The sequence below is a fragment of the Homo sapiens genome, chromosome 11, assembly GCF_000001405.40.
Source record: "Homo sapiens chromosome 11, GRCh38.p14 Primary Assembly".
In the NCBI taxonomy this organism is placed as follows: domain Eukaryota; kingdom Metazoa; phylum Chordata; class Mammalia; order Primates; family Hominidae; genus Homo; species Homo sapiens.
This window is the reverse complement of record NC_000011.10, coordinates 43,909,110-43,934,211: the sequence shown is the minus strand read 5'-3', so window position 1 is coordinate 43,934,211 and position 25,102 is coordinate 43,909,110. Positions and strand designations below refer to the sequence as shown.

Below are 25,102 nucleotides of genomic sequence, written 5' to 3'. Positions count from 1 at the left end.
ATAATTTTGCTGGAGGGTTGCCATGACAATCCCAGGCAATCTCCAAGAAGGGTTGTCAGTGTGCACGAGAGGGAGAGAGAGGAGAGGGAGAGAGAGACAGGGAAGAAGAGAGTCCAAGACACACAGAGAGGGAGAGAGGGAGGGAGGGAGAGGGTCCAGGGAGACCCCCAGTGACAGCCCCCTCATCGGTCCATCAGTTTCCAGTGCCCCGCCCCGGTGGCCCCATTCATGCTGGGATGAGCTCACTGTGTAATCTGAGCCTCACTGTAACACTGCAATGGGATACCAGCTGCAGCGGCTGCCATGGCAGGGCTGGTCCCACCGGAGGAGGCACCCTGGCACCCCTGACTCCCAGGATGAGTCCCAGGGAACACCAGGGTGGAGTCAGGGGCAGGGAGACTCTTGGGGACTCTGAGGGAGCCACAGCCCAGGGAGACCTCCCAAGAAGACCTCCCAAGAATCAAGCCCAGCCTGTGGACCTGGGGTGCTGATGTGAGTAACGAGAGCTCATTTCCCTGCCAAGGTTCTGCTTTCCGGCACAGCTTCACCCACCCAGGGTCTGTGGCTCAGCCCTTCCCACATGCTTTCTTGCAGGCCTGAGTGTTCCTCTTCTGGGACCACTGGTCTGAGAATCTTTACATGGCTGAGAAGAAAATCCCTCACAATTTTTGGCCCTTAAGCTTTGCAAAGTAGTTTCACCCCTCTGACTTCAGCAAAACAGGAATATCTTTGCTGTCTTTTGAGATGAAGACAGAGAAGACCAGAGAGGGGAGGGAACAAGACCAAGGTCACACAGCCAGCGGCAAGGCAGGGTGGAGTCAGGATGGGACCCCATCCTGGACTTTACCTTGAGCCTGGCTGCCCCCTGGGAGGGCTGGTTCTCTGGACTAGGTCCATCTGACATTACTCCCTCATATGTGGACAGGGACACTGAGGTCCAGGGACATCCACCAGCTAGTAAGCATAGAGACTGGGCTTGTAGCCTCGCATTCTGAGAAGTTTCGCTGCTCCTACCAAACCATGAGCCAGTACCATGATTCCATAAAGCAAGCCTGAGGGACTTACCTTATGCTCCAAGGTTAAAGTATAAGTCTCTCCCTTGGAAGCAGAGTCTTCTGCCTACTGGAAAAACAGAGAAGAGGGCAGCTGGAGCCAGAAACGCAGAAGCAAGAGGGTCAGAGGTTTTCCCAGGTAGTACCAAGCCCCAGCTACACAGCGCAGCCCTCCAAAGCGCCTCCAGCCTCTGCTATTAGAGCTGTGTGGCCCAGGGCAAGTCACTTTGGCTCTCAGAGCCCTAGGCTCTGCAGCTATCAGGAGCTGAGGTGACAAAGGGGGTGGCTATTGAGTCAGGAGCCCTGGAAGGAACCGCTTCCGAGTTCTGGGAAGCAGCTTCCCTGGCATGGCCTGGTGATGGAGGTGTTTACATCCCTTGTCTATCTCCAGCTTGGTTCAAATCCACCTTTCAACAATTTACTACTGTGGTTGGGCACCAAAACAAAAGTGCTGTGGGTGCTGAGGACACCTGCAAAGACGACTTTCACGAAGCCTTGGTAAGGGGTAACAGCATGAGGGCACGCAAACAGCATCTCAGGACTGCCTGCTCCGATACTTTGGTTCTGGTGTTTGCTAGAAAGTTCTTCTCAGCTGGGTGCCGTGACTCACACCTGTAATCCCCAGCACTTTGAAAGGCCAAGGCAGGCAGATCGTTTCAGATCAGGAGTTCGAGACCTGCCTGGGCAACATGGCAAAACCCTGTCTCTACTAAAAATACAAAAAGTTAGCCCGGCATGTTGGTGCGCATCTGTGGTCCCAGCTGCTCGGGGGGCTAGGGTAGGAGGATTGCTTGAACCCGGGAGGCGGAGGGTGCAGTGAGCTGAGACTGTGCCACTGCACTCCAGCCTGGGTGACAGAATGAGACCCTGTCTCAAAAAAAGAAAAAGAAAGAAAAAAAAGTCTTCTCATGACCCTGGGATTGTGGAAGTCTCATTTGTGCCCCATCCTTCTCCCTGGGTGGCAGTCATGAGGATCTCACCAGACATTTTTGAAAACATACTGAGATAAAATGAGGCCACACAGGAGGGTGAATTTTTTAATGGATTCCAAGAATTAGGGTCGCAATGATGCCCTGTCATTTAAGGTTCTAAGCCTGGCCCCAGGATAGGACACACCGTCATCCTTATGGGCCCACTTTTGGGGTCCCAGAGCCCGTTCTCCCTAAGGCCTGCCTGTGCTTCTCCTCAGACACAGCCTCAGGCTGCCCTGTGAACACCAGGGTGCTGCTGCACTGGGCTCTGCACTTTTAGGACAGGTTTGGGGCTGGATGGGATTACTCCTGGTGCACCCTGTTTGAGACAGCCTCTTCCTGATGTTGCCCCCCTGTGGAAGGCATCTTCCCCTACTTTATTCAAGATGGCAACAGCTGTCATTTCTCCAGCCATTCCCTTAAAGGGACGCGCAGGGGACGAGATTTAAAGGCATGAATTTTTCCTGAGCACCTAACTCTTGCCAGGCACCAACAAAAAGCACTTTGTGCCTATCATCTCACCCTTAAATGTATCTTCCCAGAGCAGTACGACTATCTCCAAGCTTTGTTCAAGGAAAGAGGCTCAGAGATGTCAGGGAACTTTCCCAAGGCCACACAGCCAGGCAGAAGTGGCACTGGGATGCAAACCCAGGTCAATCTGCTGCCAAAGCTCTTTTCACCCATCAGCACCTCCCACAGTGGTGACCCCTGGACCTGCCCAGGGAGGGGTTCAGTGGGCAGAGGGAGAGGGTGAAGAGGGAGCTAGCTGGGCCTGGGAAGGGTCTAGAATTCTAACTGGCAGCCAGACTCTAAATCCCAACCATTTTTCCAGGGAATAGACTGATGCAGTAGAGTCTTGCGGTGGGGCATGGAGGGGAGTGTGGATGACACCCAAACCTACTCTGTGATGATGGCAGAAGGCATGAAGGCCCCTCCCCACTCATGACGCCCCAGCAGGCGGCTTCGAAGGCCTCACGCTGCTCAGACAGGGGCGTGGGGGGTACACCTCCAGCAGCTGGGCTCATGACCATGCCTTCAGTGCAGAGTCTGAGATTGGAAATCACTGTTAGAAGAGTACAAAGAAGAAAACCACAAAGACTTGGCTGATGGGGTCGTAAGGCCACAGGAAATGGAACAGAACTACAGCCTGCCAGAGCAGGAAGGAACCTTCTAGATGAGCTGGGTCAGTGTTTTCAGACCACGGAGTGTGGCTCATCAACGGGCTGTACAATCAGTTTGGGGGCCATGGTCAGCATTTTTAAACAATATACAATGGAACACAAAACATCAGAGTAAACATATGCCATACAGTACATACAGTATTGTTTCATGAAGCTTTAGTTTTAGTGTGTGTGCGTGTGTGCATGTGTGTGTGTGTGTGAAAACTTTTTTTCTTTTTTACCATGGGTTGTGGTCAAAGGAGCTAAAAACAATTTTTAAGTTGGTTTGTATTAGTCCATTTTGCATAGCTATAAAGGACTACCTGAGACTGAGTAATGTGTACAGAAAAGAGGTTCTGTATACAATTCCGCAGGCTGTACAAGCACAGCACTAGCATCTGCTTGGCTCTGGTGAAGCCTCAGGAAGCTTTTATTCATGGTAGAAAGTGAAGCAGGATCAGGCATATATCACACAGTGACAGAGGGAGCAAGAGCGATACCTGGCTGTTTTAATTAACCAGTTCTAGCGTGAAATAACAGAGCAAGAACTCACTCATTACCATGGGGAGGGCACCAAGCCATTCATGAGGGATCCACCCCCATGATCCAAACACCTCCCACCAGGCCCGGTCCAACACTGGGAGTCACATTTCAACATGAGATCTGGAGGGGACAAATATTCAAACCATATCATGGCTCAACCCCTACATTTTACAGATGGGAAAACTGAGACCAAGGGCAGGAAGAGGCTTTTCCCAGGAGCCAGAGGCAGGACAAAGATCCAGAGTGTTCTATGCCAGGACACAGGCCAGGTTTCTTACTGTCTTTCTGGACACTAACCACCTTGCCAGGCCTTACCCCAGGCTAGAGGGGAAGAATCCAGGGCTTCACAGGGGCTGGGGGCCAGGTGGGAATCCGGCCCTGCCTCTGACTGCTGGGACAGACACTCTCGGGAGTGCCTTCCTCTCAGGGCTGCTCCTTCTCTGTTGCTTTCTCTGCGTTTCCTCTTCCCACCAACAGTCAGAATGGCTCAGATTGAGGTCCCTCTCTGCCCTCCCTTCCACCCTCCTCCTCAGTCTCTCTTGGTCAGGCTGGGTCCTCCCTTTCCCCAAGTCCTTGCTCTCAACACGTCTACACAGACGTTGCTCCATGGCTGTAAGACCTGCCCAAAGCCCACACAAGAGGCCAGGTACGGTGGTTCACACCTGTAATCCCAGCACTCTGGGAGGCCTGAGGAGGGAGGATCACTTGAGGCCAGGAGTTTGAAACCAGCCTGAGCCATGTAGCAAGACCTCATCTCTACAAAAAATTTAAAAATTAGCGGTCGGGCATGGTGGCTCATGCCTGTAATCCTAGCATTTTGGGAAGCCAAGGTGGGTGGATCACCTGAGGTCAGGAGTTCTAGACCAGCCTGGCCAACATGGCGAAACCCCATCTCTACTAAAAATACAAAAATGAGCCGGGCGTGGTGGCAGGTGCCTGTAATCCCAGCTACTCAAGACGCTGAGGGAGGAGAATTGCTTGAACCCAGGGGCAGAGTTTACAGTGGGCCAAGATCGTGCCACTTCACTCCAGTCTGGGCAAAAGAGTGAAACTCCATCTCAAAATAAAGTAAAATAAATAAATAAATAAATGTTAAAAATTAGCTGCGCATGATGGCATGTGCCTATAGTCCCAGCTACTTAGGAGGCTGAGGTAGGAGGATCATTTGAGCTTAGGAGATTAAGGCTGCAGTGAGCCATGACTGTGCCAATGACTCCAGCCTGGGTAACAAAGGAAGACCCTGTCTCAAAACAAAAGCAAAAAACAACAACAAAAATCAAGGCCACACAAGCTCTTTCCTTCGCATTCACACACTATTTCATAAGAATAGCTGCCGGTACTGAGACGGATACATTTTGTCTCTCTCAATTGAACAACTCTGTTTTATAGAAGATGGGGAAACTCAGGCTAAGAATTTGCCAAAGGCCATGTAGCAGTCAGTGGAGGAGCTGGAACTAGAACCAGGTCTACTGGACTAAAATTGCCACCACAGCACCATCCTGCCTGGCTGGTTGCTGGCAGTCTTTCCTCTGAAGCATCTTGGATTGGGCTGGGATGAGCAACAGCCAGCATGGGGGCAGTGGCTGCCTCTCCTACCTTGTGTTGCAATGAGGAGAGGAACGCTCCATTCCCAAGAGGGAAGAATATCGGAAAGGCAGCTTCCATCCTTTTCCCAGCCTCCCTAACTCTCTTTCCCGAGAGCGGAGGAATGACTTATAAGCAGCTTGGGAGAAGGAGCTGAGCTGGGGGCATAGGGAATCTGGCCCTTTCCTGGCCACTCTGAGCTGCTTGTCTACAGAGAGTGCCCGCTGCCCAGCTCCTGCGTCCTCCATGGGGAAGGGCCAGCATCCACCTTTGAGAAGCACACCTGGAGGCCCACCTCCTCCGCTCCCCACTCGCAGGCTCACCAAGGGAGGCAGCGATCCTCCTGGCGGCTGGCAGAGACCGGGCCTGCAGCACAGACTGTTTCCTCGGATGGGGTACCCTGAGGCCTTGATAGGGTGAAGGCATATCAAGAAGTCTGACTGTGGTCATGGAGGTAAGCCAAGGTCTCCCGGCCTTATCAGTAATAACCTTGATATGCTGACCTCGTAGCTGAGTCCTGTGTCTGTTTTTCTGTTGTTTCAGCACTCATGGGAAGAAGGGGTGTTACCAGCACTAGAAAATCCGACATCTTTTCTTTTCACCATTCCTAGAGGTGTCCCCCAGGCCACATGTGCAGCCTCAAACTTGGACTCCTGCAGTCTCTCTCCCAGGTCTTCTCACCTCTGCCCAAGCCAGCTCCTACGCCTGATGTGGGCCCATCTTCCTCCCCCACCGTCTCCCCTCCAGCTCAACATAAGCTACCAAGGGGTCCCTCCCTGCTCATCAGCCTTTCAGCTGTCACTTAACAGGGTGCTCCTGCCCATTCTCCAAGTGCCTCCTCCAACAGGCAGACTTCCCTGGCCACCACCTCATATTCTGCCAGCTCTAAGACTCATCATCAGGACCCCTTGTTCCACTTTCACCTTATTATTGATGTTTTCCAAGTGTGTGTCTTGTTTTCTCAACAAATTACACACAGTATAATACCACCACCCATACTGGCTGAGATGTCCTGAGTTCTTGCTTACTCTGTGCCAGGCACAGGACAGCTTCTTCTCTGAGGAGGGAAATGGTATAAAAGACTAAGCATAGGGCCCAGCACACAGTCAGTGCTCAAGCAGGGCAGGAGTTTCTCAGATCTGCTCAAACACCACTGGCAGGTGGATAAATTGGTGTACTCTTTCTGGAAAGCCATTTCCATTATGTATTCAAAGCCTTAAAATATGCATAGCCTTCCGGATCTGGGCCAGCGACCCCACTTTTAGGAATTTATTCTAAGAAACAATCAGAGATGTACTCAAAGGTTTAGCTACAGGACTGCACCCAGCCACACCAGTGGAAGAGCTGTGCCTCCGTTTAACTGTAAAATGGAGATAAAAATAGTGCCTAGTCTATGGGCTGCTGTGAGGATTCATAAATCAGGCACTGATTATATGTAAAGCAATGAATGCAGTGCCTAGTACATATTGCAGCTTTTCAAAAGTGTTACCTGCTCTTTTTATTATTTGAATTGAAGTCTGAATGAAGTCAAAGCCCGAATGGGCTCCCTACCTCCCTCCCTCCATTCTCGTGATTTCCAAAACCAACAAAAGGGTTACTAATATCAAAAACAGCATCAACACCAACCACCATCTAAATCCAACACAAAGGAACTGGTTAAATAACAATACAACTGTATATAACACTATGCAGCCACTCAAGATGATGTCATAGAACAAGAATTAATGGCAGGCACCAATGTACCTAAGTAGAAAAAGGCCCCAAAACTATTAGTTCAGTAAGATGGTAATTTTTTCTTTTAAAAAGCACATAAATGTGTAGAAAAAATATATATACTGCAAATTGTGAAAAGCTGGCCGGGCTCAGTGGCTCACGCCTGTAGTCCCAGCACTCTGGGAGGCCGATGGGGGGCGGATCGCTTGAGCCCAGGAGTTCCAGACCAGGCTGGGCTACATGGCAAGACCGTCTACAACAAATTCTGAAATTAGCCAGGTGTGGTGGGGTGCACCTGTAGTCCCAGCTACTCAGGAGGCTGAGGTTGGAGGATCACCTGAGCCCGGGGAGGTCAAGGCTGCAGTGAGCCATGATTGCACCACTGCCCTCCAACCTGGGCAAAAGAGTGAGACCCTGTCTTACACAAACACACACACACCAATGTAAAGAGTTGCCATGTCTAGCTTGTGAAGTTACAAACGCTTTCTCTTTTTATCTTTCTTTTTAATTTCTTGCAAAGAACACAAACCTCTTTTGTAGTAAGGAGAAAAAACTAATTTTGCCAAGGAAAATAGAAGCCACATGGGTTTACTTCTATCTGTAATGGAAGGCACTGTGTCTTCCTTTCACGTATCCCTCACCGCATCTGACCCACAATCTCTGGATATAAAAGCCCTGGTCTTGAACAGAATTCCAGCCTGGTAATCTTGTTTACTCTTGCAGGCCAAGGCGTTCTGTACAGAGTTTGAAAGTGGCCTGCAAGAACGAGAAAACAATACAGTCCTGTGGGGGTGCATCTGAGCCTGGTCGGCGACCCTTGCCAGGCTAGGAAACGTCAAGAACTGACCCCAAGGGGACAAGGCACTGGAATCCTGGAATCTGTCCAGGGATAGTGCATTAGGAAACCAATTACCTGGGGAGCATGTGGTGGGGCCGCCGAGAGTGAGCAGAGCATCAACGCAAGGCCACTTTGGCATCTGGGAGCTCTCTTCAGTTTGGCCTAAAGAACTTCCAGAGGGGGACTTAAGTGCAGCTGGATCTTAATATGATCAGCTCCACTCGCACACAATTTTCATTTTGGCCATTCTCCAGAAAGCCTCTGCCCAACCCCACTCCCCAACCCTTGCTGACTGCAACAGACACGAGGGCACCAGGGGAGCCTGCCAAGGGGAAAGGCAGGGTCACAGGGCCATCCGTCAGCCACAGAAGGACCGCCCACCCAGCATAAGGATTAAGGTTGGGGTTAGCAGGGCATGTGAAATGGTGCACTTAAAAAATCATATTACTAAGTGGGTTACTGTCAGGCACTATATGCATGGTCTCAAGCCTCACAGGACCGCCAAGAGGGGGCTGCTTCTGAGTCCATTTCACGGTGGAGGAAACAGGCTTGGAGGCTGACTGGTCTGAGGTGACTCAGCTAGAAAGGGCAGAGCTGGGATTCAACCCTGGGTCCACCTGACTGAAGCCTAGGCTCCTTCCACCTCTCCCCACAGGGCTCAGACAGTCATTCCGGCAGATGTGGAGGCTAGGGTAGGGGTGGGGTGTCAGAGCTGCTCCCCAGTTCTACCCTTGCAGGCAGTACTGTGACCGTAAGAGGGAGCATGTACCCCCTTGCAAAAGCGAACGGGGCCAGTCTTGTCTGAAATTGTCCAGCTAATTCCCCTCATCGGTTGGTGCAGAGCTCAGCTGGCACTAGATTCAGGAGGACGACGCTACCTCAAGCTGCAGCAGGGATCCTTGCCACATATCCAGCCACCTGGCTGGTGCAGCGTGGAGACGATCAATACCACTCCTTGGAGGGCTGTCCCAGTAGGCACCGTGACCTTCTGGGGCTGCTTGTTTCCCATGTTCCCTCTTGTCACCAGGCCTCTCAGAGTGGCAGAAAGAACACTGGCCTAAGCATTTGATAGGGACTACTCTCAAGTAGTCCCCTACCGACACCCCACAGGGCTTTAGGGAGTCAAAGGGCAGTATGTGCACGGGAGTTCACCAGCTCTCCTCTCTGCACCCCTCCTCCCAGCAGAGAAGCCTGGAGGAGGGCACAGCTGGGCAGGCTAGGGGAGCAAGAAGCCACACATTCATGCCTCCCCTCTTGATTTTTACCTTCAGGCCAGCTGTCCTCCTTTCCCTCTCACTCCAGGTGAATGGAGGCTGAAAGTCTGAGAGAAAGAGAGAGAAAGCTGGGAAGAAACTGGTGGCTAGTCCCTTGACATGTTTTCAGAGGAAACATTCCAGGAAACAACCCGAAGGAGACACTTCTGTGGGGCTCCCCTCCTCTCTCTGACTTTCCTAAGTTCTGCCCATTTGAACGGCCCCATGGAATCCTTCCTCCAGCTATTCCACATTCTCCAGGCCTGCAGGAGCCCTGATTGCAGAATCCGCCTTTGGTGGGTTCACCCCTAGGGGGCCCCGTGGCCATCCTCCAAGTGCGGACTGGTGGCGAGGCTGGTGTCCTGACCGAACCCCCAGGCAGGTGGCTCAGACTCAGGCAGCGATGACCCAGCTGGCCTCCCAGGGTGCGAGGGGCCTGGGTGCCTTCCTGCGAGGTGGCCCTTCTGGCTCCGCCTCTTGTGCCGCAGGAACGGGTTTGGCCACACATAGCCTGGAGGCTGCGGGGCTAGCACTGGGTTCCCGGCCTCCGGCCTCCGGCCTCCAGGTCCCTGTCCCACTCGCCTGCCCCCGTCCTTCCTGCGGGGAGCAGCACCTCACAACACGGTCACAAGGCCCTCAGGCGCCCACCGCCTCCTCCCACTACCTGGCCAGTGGTGAGCTCCCGCTGGGGCTCCCAGAAAAAGGCACAGGAGGCTCTGGCTGCAGCGCTCCTACCACCCAGGCTGCCGGCCCCAGGGCCAGGGCTGGGGGACGGGAGGTCCCACAGGCCACAGCAGCAGGCACGGCTGGGCTAGCCCTCCAGGGCTGTCTCTCCCAGACCACTGCGGACACCAGATCCCAGATCTGATAAATCCTCTGGGTACTTCAGTTTCCTCAGGTGTTTAGAAAAAACAAAAACAGCCATAGGATTTCTTTTAGGAATAAATCAGATTATGGATGCTGTGGTCCCAAGGGAGTAGTTACTCTGTAAGCTCCCTCCCCACTTTCCCCTTTCCTTCCCTTTCAGATACCAGAATTTGCATCCAGAGCTAAAAGTCAGTGGGCTCAGCCAGAGCAGTGAAGGCGTGTCCACATTCCTGGAGGCCACATGAGAATAGGGACTGTCCTTGTGCTGAGAGAGCGTGACATCACTGCTCCTATGAGGGGGAGTGATGGCACAGAAATCATCCTAACAGCGTCGTACACACAGGCCTCTGCCAGCTCCAAGCAGGCTCATTTGAGAAAACAGCCTTCTTGGTAGTGCTGGCTACGAAGCTACAGCCTAATTTATCCTGTTTTCCTCCACTGTGCTCTGACACTGCCTCCTCTTCCCGCTCCAGCTTAAACACTAACAGACAGCTCAGCCCAACATGGGGCTCTATTCACAGGCTGGGGAAGGCTTTTATAAATGGAGGCACATCAGCTTTAGACCAGCTGGAAAAGGCACCATTAGTCACTGTAGTAAATAAACACTGAAGTCATTTCCCTATTGACACCCAGATGCAGGAATCACATCTAAGAATGGATTCAAGCAGCACCAGTCTGACAAGGGTCTCACATGCGTGTTCCTTCCAAACAGAAAATGGGGTTGGGAAAGAGGGCAGTTGTAGACCAGGTCCCTCTGAGGAGAGCGTGTGGGTGGAATCATGTATAAGTAAAGTTTTAAATAAACAGAATGCATCACTATGGAAACATTCAGCTTTACCAAAGCCACCATTAAAAAAAATAATCAAGACTTAAGATTCAACACTACAAGTGTTTATGACCAGAAAAGGCAAAGTGGGTCTTAGATATTCTGCAGCCAAGTAATAGCTGCCAGAACTCAAAGAAGAAATATTCCCAGCAGGGCAGGAACCCGTCGTTTGTCAAGACTTTCTCTGAAACCCTCCAACTGGAGCATTCAGCGCACTGCAGGGCCTACTTAACTCTTTCAGCATTGCAATGACACAATTCAGGAGACGGCTCTATAGTGACTGTGTCCAGACAGACCTGCCACGCACTAGGGCAGGATCACATCAGCCACAGAGGCAGAGAGTGGGTGCCACAAGGAAAGGGCAGGTTTATTAGCTGTGACTCAAACTTATCAGGAATTGTCAATGCCACCCGAGCTAGTGGGTTAATGATGGATCAATGTGGATCCTGATTTCAACACTGGGGATGCAATCTGGTGCTAAGTGTGTGTTCCAACCCATGTTTGAAGCAAGTTGCCTGTTATAAAGAAGACATTTTTAGTGTGGAGCCTGATGTTTCTTTGGGCTGCTGACTGGAGTAATGGTGTTGGTAAGTATTGTGAAAAAGCCTGCTATGAGTTTGGGTGTCATTCAGGGTCCCCAAGTGTATTCACAGGTAAGAATGAGGTGAGAAAGGACCACCGGGGAAAACTTATCTGTCTCTAAAAGTTTCATATCTCTGAAGGTGGATATGGTCAGGAAACACTTGCCAGAAAATCAAGGAAAGTTGGCTGAGAATTTGTCTAACTCACCAGAAGTTGGATTCTGTCCCCTCAAAAGGAGCTTCCCCAATGAAATGGGCAACTGCTAGTCCAGTCACCAGCAGTTTCTGGCTAGAGGATGCTGATGCTGATTAAGGAAAGATGAGATGCAGATGCCTGCCCTGATGAACAGGAAAGTCAGGGAACAAACAGGTGGCCTGTGGTCAGCTGTGACCAGCTCCACAGGAGCCAGCCCTGAGGCTCAGGCTCCCGGGAGTGCTCAGCAGACCATTTCGCCTACATTCAGCATGGCAAAGGGAAACCAAACAGGCCGAGAAACTAGCCTGCAGTCTGCAATCTGGTTCTGCCACTACAAGCCCTGTTAACTTACCTAACGTCTTGGAGATCAGTTTCCTAGCCTCTACAATGGGAATAGGACCTCTCTCTTGCAGCGCTGTGGGAAGGATAAGGGATTATGTATAAAAGCTCCTAGGACAGTGCCTGCTGAAGCTCAGAAGAAGGGCAGCAAAAACAAAACCGAAACCTGTTTTTCTTCATGCTACCGCTGTTATATTTGCTTCCTCAGCTTTACACGCGATGTAAGCAAAAACAGCTTCACCTCTAATTCCTAGTTCAGATCTAGCACCAGCAAAACAAAGCAACAGGCTGCTGCAGTCACTGAGGCACACTGCCCTTTGCCATGGTCTGGAATTCCTGTCCATGCCTACACCCTGTAGTTTTACTCTATGGCAAGTACCTACTTGCCATTTCAGAAGGGACATTATCTTAATGGTAAAGAAAAGGGCAGTTCTGGCATGTGGTATCTGGAGTGACAGCAAGAAAAACAAAACTGAAGATTTGCTGCTCTCAGACCAAGAAACCCAGGTGGTGGCCCACTCCATCTGCTGTAGAGTAGAAATGTTTCCCTGGAAGACATGGGTGTGACAAGTGAAGAGATCAAATGCACAGCTGCCACACGGGGAGATCATGACCCTCCATTAAGAAAGAGGGACGCTGGAAGACTTGGAACCATCTGCCAGTTCTTTCATTAGTAAGGAATGGAAGATAAATTTCCTAGTGTCATGCATCAAACTGATCACCAAAGCTGGCTGTATCACCTGGCCAGGTATTATTTGCATTAATAGGAGAACAGCTAAGCATTGAAAAGAGGCTTTATTTTATTCCTATGGTGATTTGAACCTCCCTCACAGGAAAGCTTGGTGTGGTGCTCAAATTTTAGAAAGTATTTCATATTTCTTAGAGAAACAAGCCGTGCTCATTTTTTGTTTGTTTGTTTTTTGTTTTTTAAAAGGGCAGGGGGACTACAATGCCAGGAGCCAGAGAGCTTGTCAGAGAACAGCCTGGCCAGGCATGGTGCTCCATCTGAGTGCCGAGTCAGAGCATGCCCAGCCTTTGGCATTTTCCTATGATCATGGACAGCATCAATCTTACAGCCTGGAATGGAAACAGGATAAAAAGCAAGAAGGCACTGTACCTTTCCCCCACTGGCAGACAGAGAAACTCTAACTCTCCCGCCCTATTTTCATCCATTTAAATTCATTTCCTTTCTCTCAGGTTTTCTGTATCTTGGTTTGGAATGAATCTGGTACACGGCTCCTGAGTCAAGAGGTCAAGAAGACACGTGGTTTTATGATGCAACAATGGGCAGCCACTCTGTTTTGTTTTGGGAACCTCAGTGACATCACAGACTAACCCTTGTACCTTGGGACCTTGTATGTAAGAAAACATTGAGTCAGAAGAGAGCGTTAGTCATAGGGCTACTGAAACACAAGGTGACGAGAACTATTAGGCAATTGAGTGCATTCCCTGCAGGGCTGCTCCCACTTCTATCTGACTTGGGTCTAGATGACTCAAGTGATTCCCGAGGGGAAAATAATCTATGTGGAACAGCTGTCATGAGCAGGCCTTCTGCTGCTCTTCAGCCTCAATTTCAGCCTGCTACTTCCCGTGACATCATTCAGTGATTCCTCCCTTTAAGGGGACAGTTTTCTCTTGTATTACAGGTGACTACTTGAAGGTGGCTAGACGAGAGCATACTGCCACCACTCTTTATTTGGAGGCCTGTAACCTGTCTTGAGTGTGTTGCAGGAAGACTCAGTTACAGTGTTCCCTGAATATGTAGCTTTCCATTACAATAGTATGCAAGCCAAGATGAAACCACCTCTGTTTGGGTTTCAGCAGCTGTCTGCCTACGGAAGGCTCCAGAGTCCCTGACGCATATTTATATCTCCACTTCACTGAAGTCACAAGGAACAAACACGTGAGATTTTCTTTTCCCCAGAGGCACAAGTCCATTGATATTTCTTCAAATGAAGGCGGGGCGTGTGGGGGGCGGGGGAGGGCAGGAGGAAAACTGCTTAGAACAAAATCATCCATGAGCACTGCCACATAGATTTTAATTTGCCTAAAGATGATAGCGATTTTGAGCTGTGGTTAGGGATAACTGTTCCCACAGTAGACCTATTACCAACATGAGTTGCTGGCTTTCATTTAATAGGACTCCAAGCTGGCAAACAAACCCCACCATCTTCCCAACAGCCACATCATGAGATCTAGCAGCACCAGCCTCTTGAAGTGGCTTCTCAGTGGAAGGTTTGCTCCGTTTCAGTGAAGCTTCTCTCTCAAAGCTCTGACGTCACCAGGGTGCCCCTCGAGGGTCTGGATAGACTGTCCGAAAGGTCAGGTTCACTCTCGGTTCTCTAGAGTGGTATTCTTTGGGCACTCGATGCTAAATGGAAATACACATAACTCTGACATAAATACACACATACACACTTTTAGTTCAAAGCGACTTAAAACTTATTCATGAGAATGCAGAAATATTTCCATCTCATCCCCCTTAAATGAGTAGTAAGCTCTTTGAAGTCTTGTGGAGAAAGGTCCCTTCTTTGAAACAAATTTCCATCCCCAGCCCCACTGTGCTATGCCAGCACCTCTGAAGTGAGATATTTTCATCTTTTCTAATTGTTGCTGTTCCTCTCAGACACCTGCCATTTCCCAAATCTCATAAAACATATAAATGGATGAGACCAAAGAGAGGCATGAGATTCCATTCTTATGGTAAGTGTTTTGACATTAACATGTGCACCTTAGAAATGATCTGGCCTAAAAATGGCATGGCCTAGCTGCAGAGCTGTGTATTCCAATAAGATAGTCACTAGCTACCCTGAAGCTATTTAAATTTAAGTTAATTAAAATTAAATTAAAAACTCAGTTCTTTATAGCATGCAAGCCACATTTTAAGAAGTCAGTCATATGTGGCTAGTGACTACTACAATAGGCAGCACAGATACTGAACACTTTCATCATCACAGAAAGTTCTACCGGACACACTAGTGTCCACCTGGATTGTCAGTAGTAGCAAAACTCCTTGGAAAGAATGTCAGCTCATTCCCTCTTGCTCGTTGTAAAAGCAGCTTGCTTTTCACCATGTCTACTTAGAAATAGTCCTCAGAGTCAGGAAACTGCCTCCACATGAAAGCAGATTCATATTACTTGCAGATCCTCACCTGCCAGTCAGCTTGTGTCGCTCCTTCCATGATTAACAAGGTCCCATGATCCAAGGGTATCTTCACTCTTTCCACATATGTGTAGTCTCCATTCTCTTCCTAGAAAACAGCATTTGTTGTAATAAATGTTTTGCCTGTGTAATCAAGATGCAACAGAACCTGACAGAGGTCAAAAAAAAATGGAAACCTCTGCTCAGCCAGACTGTGGGAATCCATATATAGCTCTGTCATTTGGCAGCTGCTTGACTGTTGGCAAGTTACCTCATCTCTCTGTACCCTGACTTACTCATTTGTAAAATGGGGAGGATGACAGTGACTGCCACCTAGGGCTATGGTGAGCCTCCATTGATAGAATATGTGTAAATCCCTTGAAGATTGGCATGCAGTAAGTGCTAGCTATTAGTGTCATCATCATAATCCAAAATGCAGAAAAGCCCATTCTGGCCTAAGAAGGAAATAAAAGTCACCTGTACAAGAATTCTTTACATCTGACTGATGTTGTGCTCTACATTTTGACATACTCAGTGTGGGAAAAATGTCCTTTTAACCAAGATTTGATGCGATGACTTCCTTCACCTTTTCACAATGTATGCTAATTTACTAATTGGCACCTATAGTCTCAATTCTTCTCATGGCTACTATGGAGTTTTGGAGACATATTCCTGCCTCTTTCCAGAACAGACAACAGCAAGATTTTCTCAAAGGGAGCTCTGGCTTGACCAAAACAGTGCTGTCAAACTGAGATTGGCTGTTTACATCTTTGAGGATGGATCACGACTCCTGTACACTTAGGATACAAATGCTTTGTATTTACACAGAGAGCTCAAAAGCAATTTATGTCCAATATTCTCAGGAGTCTTCAGAGCATAAGCTGCAAAGCAATTAACTGGTAGTGTGGCTCCTCCACAGCTGAAAACCAGGAGCATTAAACAACTTCTGTGCTCACAGCAACAAAGAGCATGTCAAGTGCTGAGACTGGGACAGATCTGAGCTTCCTGATTTCTTCACCTCCATTCTGGGCAGAACTGATGGGTCTATTCATTCATCTGCTTCACTTCCGGTAGAAAGGGTTACATTTGGGTTACTGCAGGATTGATTTCAGTGCAAACTGTGTTTATGTTTATTACTGTATGGGTGCTTCTGAGAACTTAACTGTTTACAAAGATTTTCCCTAGGAAAATCAAAATCAAAACAATCATGAACTTGCATAAACAGTCTAAGTTCCAGGCCCCAACTTTTGGCAGTAACTTTGTCAAGCATAGTCATAATTTTTATAGACAGAAGATAGAAGCAATGTTTAAAATAACTTTGGTTTCAGTGATTGATTTTAATTGTGTCTGCCACCTTTTCTCTTCCAGTAATAAGTGGGCACCAAAACATTTACCTTTGACCCCTCAGACAACCAGAGGGCAGTGGGAAGGTGACCCTGCCCTCACTGCAGCCCAGCTCCATCTCAGAAAAGCAAAACGCTGCTCTGATTTAAAAAAAAAATCCAGACAGAGGAGACACATGGTCCTACTGGGGAAAAGATATCCGGAGGGAGTGCACTGACCATGAGATTAGACAGTCCAAGGCTCCTTAATTTAGGCTGTATAGTCAGCTATCAGATCAAGGTTCAACACAGCTAGAAGCAGAAGAATTTCTGCTACCCTCTACATAATCAGAGAGTGCAACATGGGCTTAATCTACAAATCAAGTACAGACACTAAGGAGAATAAAATAAAGTAGAAAGGAAAGACACTTAACCACAACATGAAGGCAATTCTGAGATGAAGATCTCCTAGAACATTAAAAACACTGTTGGGGAGAAGGAGGTGCTAGATCAGTGGAAGAGAATAGGTAAACACTATAGTTCCACCTGGAAACATGAAGCAGGAATCCACCTCACAAGTGAAAGAGAATTCCGAAATGTATCAGCACTGATGGAAAGTGATGTTCAATGATCACATTTCACATACTGTTCCTAAGATCTGAACTTTTCAAATGAGAGAAAGTCTCAGGTTGGTTTTGAACACATTACATTCAACATAACCATTAGCCATACCAAAAAGCAGACAAGGGTGAGCCTTCGTTTGGGAGGGAGCCACTCGAATCAGTCCACAAAGGAGACACCCTTACACAGTGTACCCTCTGTGAGAAGTGATATCATTCTTTGCTGCTTGTTATTTATTCCTTCTAAGATCTTTGACTTAGAAGATGCATTCCTAATTTGCAGAAGGAGACAGACAGGAAAGAGGGCAAGGGATCCTACTAATGCAACACAGAGCTCACAAATGCATCCTTCCCTCGAGGCCAGAGTGGCAACAGACCATAGAGCCACCCTTCAACTGAAGCAAGATGCCCTTCAACTGAAGCAAGATGCATGGAGACTGTTTCCACTTAGGAGTCAGATAAAAGGCCAGAGGAACCCACATGGCTGTGCATAAAGGCTCCAGTTGATAAATGGATAAGCAACAGTGGAAACACAGGTCAGACTGTTTAGAAGAGTGCCTTCCTAGTCATTAAGCGTGGTTAAGTTACCCAAACACATCTCTGTAGCCCTTTTGATTTACTCAGGGTTTTCTTCAAAACAAAACAAAACACACCCCCCAAAACCAGGGCTAAGGATAAAATTTTCCATCACTCATCCTGGTTAAAAGCAGCTTTTAGGGTCACACTCAAGCTACAGGGTGGGTTTTGTTATTGATGTTCTTGGTTTTCCAAATACTTGAAACCCTACGAGTACATGGAAAAAGCGAAAAACATGTATTTTTATATTAATGCTGATCAACATTCTCATTCCTCCAACCGCAGCCAGTTCATTTGAAGGCTTAATTATGCTTTTCTAAAGCTTCTCACAACTCTTACCTCCACCTCACCAACATATCCTATTCAGTTTCCTTTAAGAAAATGCTATTTGGGGTGAAAAAATCTGGATGTATTTACTGTTATGTCATTATTAACCATCCAACAGATGGGAAACCTAAACATTTTTCTTTCCATTGGAAAGGTAATTCATACTGTATGAGATTTGGAGTTTTCTTAAAATCATCCCTTTCTTGTCCTAAAAGAATGTCTTAGAAATTACAAACAATCATCAATGCTTTAAAATCATCATACAGGTTTTCCTTCTAGAATATAAAAAGTAACATAAGTTTACTAAAGTAAATGATGCACTTGTAATTATTTATTCAACCTCTGCTCTTATAAACTCCATGAGGGAAAGTTTATGTGGTCTTCCTGTTAAGAAACATTCTCAGTGCCTATCACACATATGAATAAATATGTACTGAATGACTGAGGAAGAGTACACAGAAAATGTAGAAAATCGCCTGTAATCCTATCATCCAGAGTTTATACAACATACACACAGAGTCTTCCAGATATACAATCGTGTGTACTCCATTTTTAATATTTTATTGAGCATTTTTCTATATCTTTAAATATACATTTCAAAAATATGGTTATAGAATATTCCTTTGTATGAACATATCCTTCCTTTAAACTCACAAATACCTTTTGACCACCTGTATATATCAGGCATTATGCTAGTACTAAGGATGGAGCAGTAAGGAGCACATGGTTGGAGATTGATTTTCATACACCAGTATTTTTTTTTAAAAAGAGGGAAAATAAATAAAAAGCTGCTGCAAGCAGATTTTTGGGCAAAACATTTCTGCATATATTTCTAGGATATATTCTTAAAAAATGGAATTACTGGAGCCAAGTGTATGAACTTTAAGGCACTTGATTTATATTACCAAACTGCTTTCTTGAGAAGGCTGCAGCAATCTATAATCTCACCAGGAAAACATGACAGTACCTATCTTCTGGCTGAACATTATCAACTGACAGTAACGAAAAACAATTAGGGGAGAAATGACAACTCATTCAAACTTAGAGATCTTGGATTACAAGCCAAGTTCTTTTTTTTTTTTTTTTCTTTTTTTGAGACAGAGTCTCACTCTGTCACCCAGGCTGGAGTGCAGTGGTGTGATCTCGGCTCACTGCAACCTCCACCTCCTGGGTTCAAGCGATTCTTGTGCCTCAGCCTCCCGAGTAGCTGGGATTACAGGTGCCTGCCACCATGCCTGGCTAATTTTTTTTTATTTTTAGTAGAGATAGGGTTTCACCATGTTGGCCAGGCTGGTCTTGAACTCCTGGGCTCAAGTGATCCACCTGCCTTGGCCTCCCAAAGTGCTGGGATTACAGGTGTGAGCCACCACACCCAGCCCAAGTTCAACTTTTTTTTTTTCATTCTGTTTGCTGTTTGTGTTTCTTCTGCTGTGAACACTCTCTGTTCATGTCCTTTGTCCATTGTTCTATGGGGGTGTTAACACTGTTTTCTTATTGATCTACAACCACAGATATTAAGGCATTTGTTTGTCATACTTTTTGCAAATGCTTTTCTCATTTGCTATTTGCCTTTTAACTGTACTTATGGTATTTAACATGGAATAGCTCAAAAATTTTAGAGTCAACTCTACTGACCTTTCTTTGGCTCGTCTTCATGATTTTTATGCTTAGAAAGTCTTTTCCCATCCTGAGGAAAGTTAAATATACAACTGTATTTCCTTTTAGTTTTTTTTTTAAGAGTTTACATTTTTTAGATTTAACTCTTTAATCTACATGGAGTTTGTTTTTTGGTGGTGGTTGGGTTATTCTTTTTTTTCCATGCTTCTTTTTATAACAGTTTCCAGGTACTTAAACCAAAGCATCCTGCCAGACTTCTTCCACAAGATCTACGATGGCATGTGCTCAGGTGCCAGGCACATCAGGCACTCTATATCCGTTATTGCTAATCCTCACTACAACCTTGTAAGGGAGGCAAGGAAGGTGATATTATCCATTTTATCATAAGCAAAGGGAGCTGGAGGGAAAATATTTCTCTAAGGCAAAAGCTAGCAGGAGGGCAGGCTAGCATTTGAATGTAGATTGGCCCGGCTCTAAAGCCCTATTCTTTCCACTATACTCTGCTCTCCAAGGTAAGCTCTATTCCTTCTGAAATCCTAATATTTCCTGTCCTGATTATATGGCACCCTGACTATACTGTAGGGGTCACAAACACCAGCAAGTAGCATAAGTGAGAGGTGTGGGCTGGGTGCAGCACAGGGAGGAGAGGGACCCATGCAGAACCAGGGGCCTGCAGAAAGGTGGTGGCTGCTCTGCCAATGAGCCATTTCAGATCACTGTTCCCCCAGTGCTGCCCCCTCTTCTGGGTTTTCCAGGGAAGCTGACAAGTGGGATTTTTATGTGAAATTTCCTGAGTTATAAATTTTCGCAATTAATTCAGTGTCTTTAAAAACACTGGGCAATTTAAACAAGTCTGAGGGCCAGATTCAGCTCCAGGGTTGCCCAGCTATGCTGCTGATAGGTCCATGACATGACTGCCTTCTTTGATTCCCTTGTCAGTCACCTTAGCAGACTTGTAAGCGTCTAAGACCGTTGTCATCTGATGTGCTTCTTGCATCCCCTTTGCCATTCCATGCAGTAGTGCCTGAGAGATGCTCAGGACACAAGTGCTACTTCATCTTCAAATATCATCTTCCTTTACTGAATTAAATCTAGAGGTAGAAACTGTGGGGAAATATCAAATACACGTACAATTGCTTTTAGTTAGCAACTGATTGTAGCATAGGCTCCTCCAAGGTTTCAAGCAATGGACAGAGTTTTAAATTATAGTGGATTTGTTTAATTTATTATTTGATAGTAATCTGAATAAATCTTAGAGGCCATTATCACTTAAATAATAGTATATCTAGGTCTTTCAAATTAAAATTATACCTGAATAATGGAGGGTGGAGGACGGGACGGGGGTGAGGACGGAAAAACTACCTATCGGGTACTATGCTTATTAGCCGGGTGATGAAATAATCTGTATACCAAACCCCCGTGACAGACAAGTTACCTATATAACAAACCTGCAAATATACCTAACCTAAAACAAAAATTAAAAAAAAATTAGACCTGAATGAAGCTGTCTGTACACATGAAGTATATTTGTGTACCATGACCAAGTTTGTCGCCTGTACTTGTTTTTTTTTTTTTTTTAACAACTGGAAATTATTTACTGTATCTCATTTATGTCTGTCTATCATAAAGAATTGATCAATATGTAAATATGTGATTTGAACCATGGTTGACTTTTTGAACCATGGTTGACTTATGAGTGTTGCTACAACATTTTAGAAAACATAGCCTGTTCCATGTATTAACCAAGGCCCAGGAGAGCCAGTAGGCTTGTGCTTTGTGTAGAGCTGGGAGAGGCCATCCATCCTGTCTCTCAGTGGACAATGTACTTTCCTGATAAGGAAGGGAAGCACAATGGAAATACACCTCAACTGTTTTATTGCAGTAATTTTTTTTGTATCTGAAACTGTATTGTTTAATATATTAAGATTTTAAAAAATAAATGCCATGATTTTAAAAAATTATCACATTCTTCATCTCACCCCTAACTCAATCAGAAAAAGTCATTCAAAGCAAAATATGCTTCCAAATTACTGATCTCAGATAACAGTGAGGCAGTTGGTTTTCCACATCATCTCTGATTCCTTAGATGAGCAAAATAGAAAAACCTCCATCTCTGTACTAAGAAGACACTTATAAAAACAAAACACAAATGAGCAGAAAGGACAAGGTAGAAGCCTGCTACCTGTTTCTTGTTTTACAGGTTCACAGGAAGCACCTGGCACACAGTAACTATTATTAATTTCTGCACTGGAGGCATCAGGAAAGCCTTCACGCTATAGGGGGCCCTTTTAAGTTAAGAAGTTGGAGAGCAAGCCTCGGGGAAAGCAAAGAGATAACTTAGTAGAATGGAGCAACCATACGGGAACAGTGAGAGTCCATGGATCTCCCTGGGCTAAGATCATGTATGGATTTGGCAATCTGGGTAAGGAGTTTCTATTTTATCCTTTGTTCCAACAGAAGCAAATTAAGATTTTTCAGGTGGAAAACAAAGTGATGAAAGCAGTGAGCTCAACCTTTGAGGCTCTATGCTCCCTTCTTGTTTTTTGTTTGTTTGTTTGTTTTGAGAAGGAGTCTCACTCTGTGGCCCAGGCTGGAGTGCAGTGGTGCGATCTCGACTCACTGCAACCTCTGCCTCCCAGGTTCAAGCGATTCTTCTGCCTCAGCCTCCTAAGTAGCTGGCATTACAGGCGCGCACCACCACGCCTGCCTATTTTTTTTGTATTTTTAGTAGAGACGGGGTTTCACCATGTTGGTCAGGCTGGTCTCGAACTCCCGACCTTGTGATCCGCCCACCTCAGCCTCCCAAAGTGCTGGGATTACAGGCATGAGCCACGGCGCCTGGCCGCTCCCTTTTTTATTCTCTTTCTCTGAATGATAATGTACAATTCCACAGTTTTACATATGGTCTATATTATTAGTTTTAATTCGATTCCACATTCAACAAATAGTTGTCTAAGCCATCTTGGGCAAGTAATTTAACACTGAGTCTCAGTCATCTCATCTGTACAATGGAAATAATAATGGCATCAACTATATAAAATTATCAGAGAATTCAATAAAGAAGTTAGAGCAGAGCCAGGCACAGTCAGCACTATACACTTGTTATTTATTATTAGCGTTTTACTATTGCGGTTATTCCAAAATTCCCAAATGACATCTCCAGCCAGGCCTGTTGTCTGAACTCCAGACTTACACAGTCGACTGCCTACTTAACATTTGGAAGCCTCAGGCACCTCAGATTTTGCACGTAGAAGAAGGAACTCCTCCAGCAGGGACAAAATCAAATGCAGAAATCCCAGCTTCTCTTCCACCTGAGTAAACAGCAACTCCACTCACCACTGCTCAAGTCAGACACCTGGGAGTCTGGATCCTTACCCCCACATCTAACATATTACTGGCAAGTTCTGTTGATTCATCCTCAGAAATATACCTCAAACCCATTAACTTCTCTTCATCCCCAATGCCACCTTAGTCCAAGCTAGCAGTCTCCCACTGCGATGACTACAACCACCTACTCTTTTAGTCTCCTACTCTTGCCTCTTCCCAAATTATTCTTCACACAGCAGCCACAGTGATCTTCTAAAATAAAAATTCAGAGCTCTAACCATGAGTTGTAACTATTTCTCTCTGTTTATTTGATTATAGTCTAGCTCCTGTAACCCCCATAAGGGCAGGGACTATGTTTGTCATGTTCACTGCTATATCCCCAGAGCTGAGCATAGTATAATACCTGACACATAGTAGGGGTTTAATTAATATTTGGAGAGGGGAGAATGAGAGAAGACAGTGAGAGAGAGGCAGGAAAGAACTGTTCCTGGAAATAATACCTGACATCTGGGTAATGGACAGAAGAGAGGGAGCAAAGATTGGAATTAAGGACATCAGGGTGAAAAAAAAAGTCATTTTAGTACTGTAGGCATGGGTTAAAAAGTGCCTGGGATAAAGATGGTCACTGTAAGAGAGATGGGTTCTTTAGATAGTTCAAGAAAGAATTCAGATGACTTGGGACTTGATAATATATGAGAAACAAAGGAACAAGGAAGAGCTGAAAATAACTTACGGTGTTAACCTGACCAAGAGAATGGTTAGGTTAACATGAACATAAATGAACTTACCAGCAAGTGTGGAGTTTTTCTGAAAGAACAATACGAATCTGATTTTATCATTACAGGGTGGAAGCCACATGTGCTGTTATTAAGTGGAAATGTCTCGTGAACATGTGGAAAGTGATGACTGGAACTTCAGATGAAAGTCAAAGCTGGAGATAGGAGATTCAGAAGTCACCCCACCAAAGAAGGAATGGTTAAAGCTATAAGAACTAATGAGATCCTATTTATTTGCTTATTCAATCAACATATGTAGAACTAAATGCTAAGAATGTAATGATAAATAAGACAGAAAGGGACCTTGCCCATATGGTATTTACAATCTACTGCCAGTTCATAATCTCCTAAAAAATAATGTAGAGAACAATAACAGAATCAAAGAAATCTTGAACGTCTATATTTAAGGGGTTGAATGTAAAAGAAAAGGCCTTAAAGGAGGCAGAAAAATAGCAATGAGAAAAGTTTGGGAATTCTAAAACAAGACAGTATTTCAGAGGAAGAAAACGCAGGTAATACATGGGCAAGTTTCACACACAGAGGTGATGCATCCTGGTGACCAATATTACAAGGAAGAGAGATGATGACTGAGGACAGGCTGGTGGACTTGATTTGAGGTCAACGGTATGAGGATAATTTCAGCAGAGTGGTGGGATGGAGCGAAACAGCAGGTGTGTCAATAATGAGTTAAGCTTTGAGAAAGGGGAGACTTCAGATGCAGACAACTCATTCCTGAATCTGTGCTTCAAAAACAAGAAAAAGCCCAAGATGTCAGGATATCTGCAGGGTCAAGCAAAGCATTTTTTTCACGATGGTAATAGGTAAAAGAGATTTCTCTAGCCCGCTGGTCTAAGGATCAGACAGAGGGTGGAGGTGCTTGATAAGGATGGTCATGGCATTTTTTGCAGACTGAAATGATATTTGAAAACTAAATGCTAGCCTGTGTTACAGCTACTTACCCGCTGAGGATCAAACGTACATTTATTTGCCCTATTGCCCAACTTATGGCTATGCCAGTAATGTCCTCTTTTTTTCCTTATCATTTCTTTTCAGCTTGTTTTCCCAAACTGTGGTGTTGCCTTGCCCTTGAGAACCCAGCTGAGGTCTAGACTGTTTCATGGATCACCTAAGCTTGGAGCTACAGTTGGGCTGCAAAGTTGTTCCTCTAGTGCTGATACAAGAACATAGCTGGTCCTCTTGTTCATAGTGGTAAAATATTTTTAAAATCTGACATAAACACAACATATTAATTACAGAAATGATGGAGAGAGAATAAAGCTGGGACCCCACAAAGTCATCTTTGCAGAGTTATTCTGCTGACTCAAACCACACTTTAACTGATGACATCCTAGCATCGATCTGAAGTACATTACTTTAAAAACAGAAGCTGTTTCTGAAATAAGATCTGCTAAAGTAAGAAGCCAGCTAGAAAAACACAGATTTTAAGTCACTGAGGTTATTGGTTCGAAACA

The 25,102-nt window shown here is 46.0% G+C and overlaps 2 protein-coding genes and 2 long non-coding RNA genes across 4 annotated transcripts in view, besides 3 other annotated features; 2 read left to right on the top strand and 2 right to left on the bottom strand.

Annotated features, from left to right (window-relative positions):
- ACCSL (1-aminocyclopropane-1-carboxylate synthase homolog (inactive) like) overlaps positions 1-13,144 on the bottom strand; it is a 138,910-nt gene extending 125,766 nt beyond the window's left edge. Inside the window, exons 1-3 of the mRNA XM_047426927.1 lie at positions 13,041-13,144; positions 2,925-3,070; positions 1,066-1,122 (exon numbers count right to left, since the gene is read on the bottom strand). The gene's annotated coding sequence lies outside the window, so the exon portion shown is untranslated. The remainder of the gene's footprint in view (positions 1-1,065; positions 1,123-2,924; positions 3,071-13,040) is intronic.
- Positions 177-355: a silencer, noted in NCBI's record as "fragment chr11:43955407-43955585 (GRCh37/hg19 assembly coordinates)". NCBI's record gives its function as "represses an EF-1alpha promoter that drives an FKBP-Casp9 reporter gene in an ReSE screen in phorbol 12-myristate 13-acetate-treated (for megakaryocytic differentiation) K562 erythroleukemia cells {active_cell/tissue: K562(+PMA)}" and the evidence as "EXISTENCE:reporter gene assay evidence [ECO:0000049][PMID:32094911]".
- LOC124902663 (uncharacterized) lies at positions 288-7,161 on the top strand. The gene is made up of 3 exons (XR_007062657.1): positions 288-492; positions 2,856-5,764; positions 5,854-7,161. It is a non-coding gene; the product is annotated as an uncharacterized LOC124902663 (long non-coding RNA).
- Positions 5,626-6,127: an enhancer, noted in NCBI's record as "H3K4me1 hESC enhancer chr11:43949635-43950136 (GRCh37/hg19 assembly coordinates)". NCBI's record gives its function as "activates a minimal SCP1, AML or CMV promoter by ChIP-STARR-seq in naive H9 embryonic stem cells {active_cell/tissue: H9 hESC(naive)}" and the evidence as "EXISTENCE:reporter gene assay evidence [ECO:0000049][PMID:30033119]".
- Positions 12,787-13,986: an enhancer, noted in NCBI's record as "BRD4-independent group 4 enhancer chr11:43941776-43942975 (GRCh37/hg19 assembly coordinates)". NCBI's record gives its function as "activates an origin of replication core promoter dependent on BRD2, P300/CBP, MED14 and CDK7 cofactors, and independent of BRD4, by STARR-seq in HCT116 cells {active_cell/tissue: HCT116}" and the evidence as "EXISTENCE:reporter gene assay evidence [ECO:0000049][PMID:35650434]".
- On the top strand, positions 13,268-24,923 carry ALKBH3-AS1 (ALKBH3 antisense RNA 1). The gene is made up of 6 exons (NR_038907.1): positions 13,268-13,338; positions 13,748-13,826; positions 14,550-14,626; positions 17,291-17,543; positions 21,728-21,949; positions 23,699-24,923. It is a non-coding gene; the product is annotated as an ALKBH3 antisense RNA 1 (long non-coding RNA).
- ALKBH3 (alkB homolog 3, alpha-ketoglutarate dependent dioxygenase) overlaps positions 13,938-25,102 on the bottom strand; it is a 39,444-nt gene continuing 28,279 nt past the window's right edge. Inside the window, exons 9-10 of the mRNA NM_139178.4 lie at positions 15,076-15,174; positions 13,938-14,294 (exon numbers count right to left, since the gene is read on the bottom strand). Coding sequence (NP_631917.1) covers positions 14,202-14,294; positions 15,076-15,174 — 192 coding nt within the window. The 3' untranslated portion in view covers positions 13,938-14,201. The remainder of the gene's footprint in view (positions 14,295-15,075; positions 15,175-25,102) is intronic.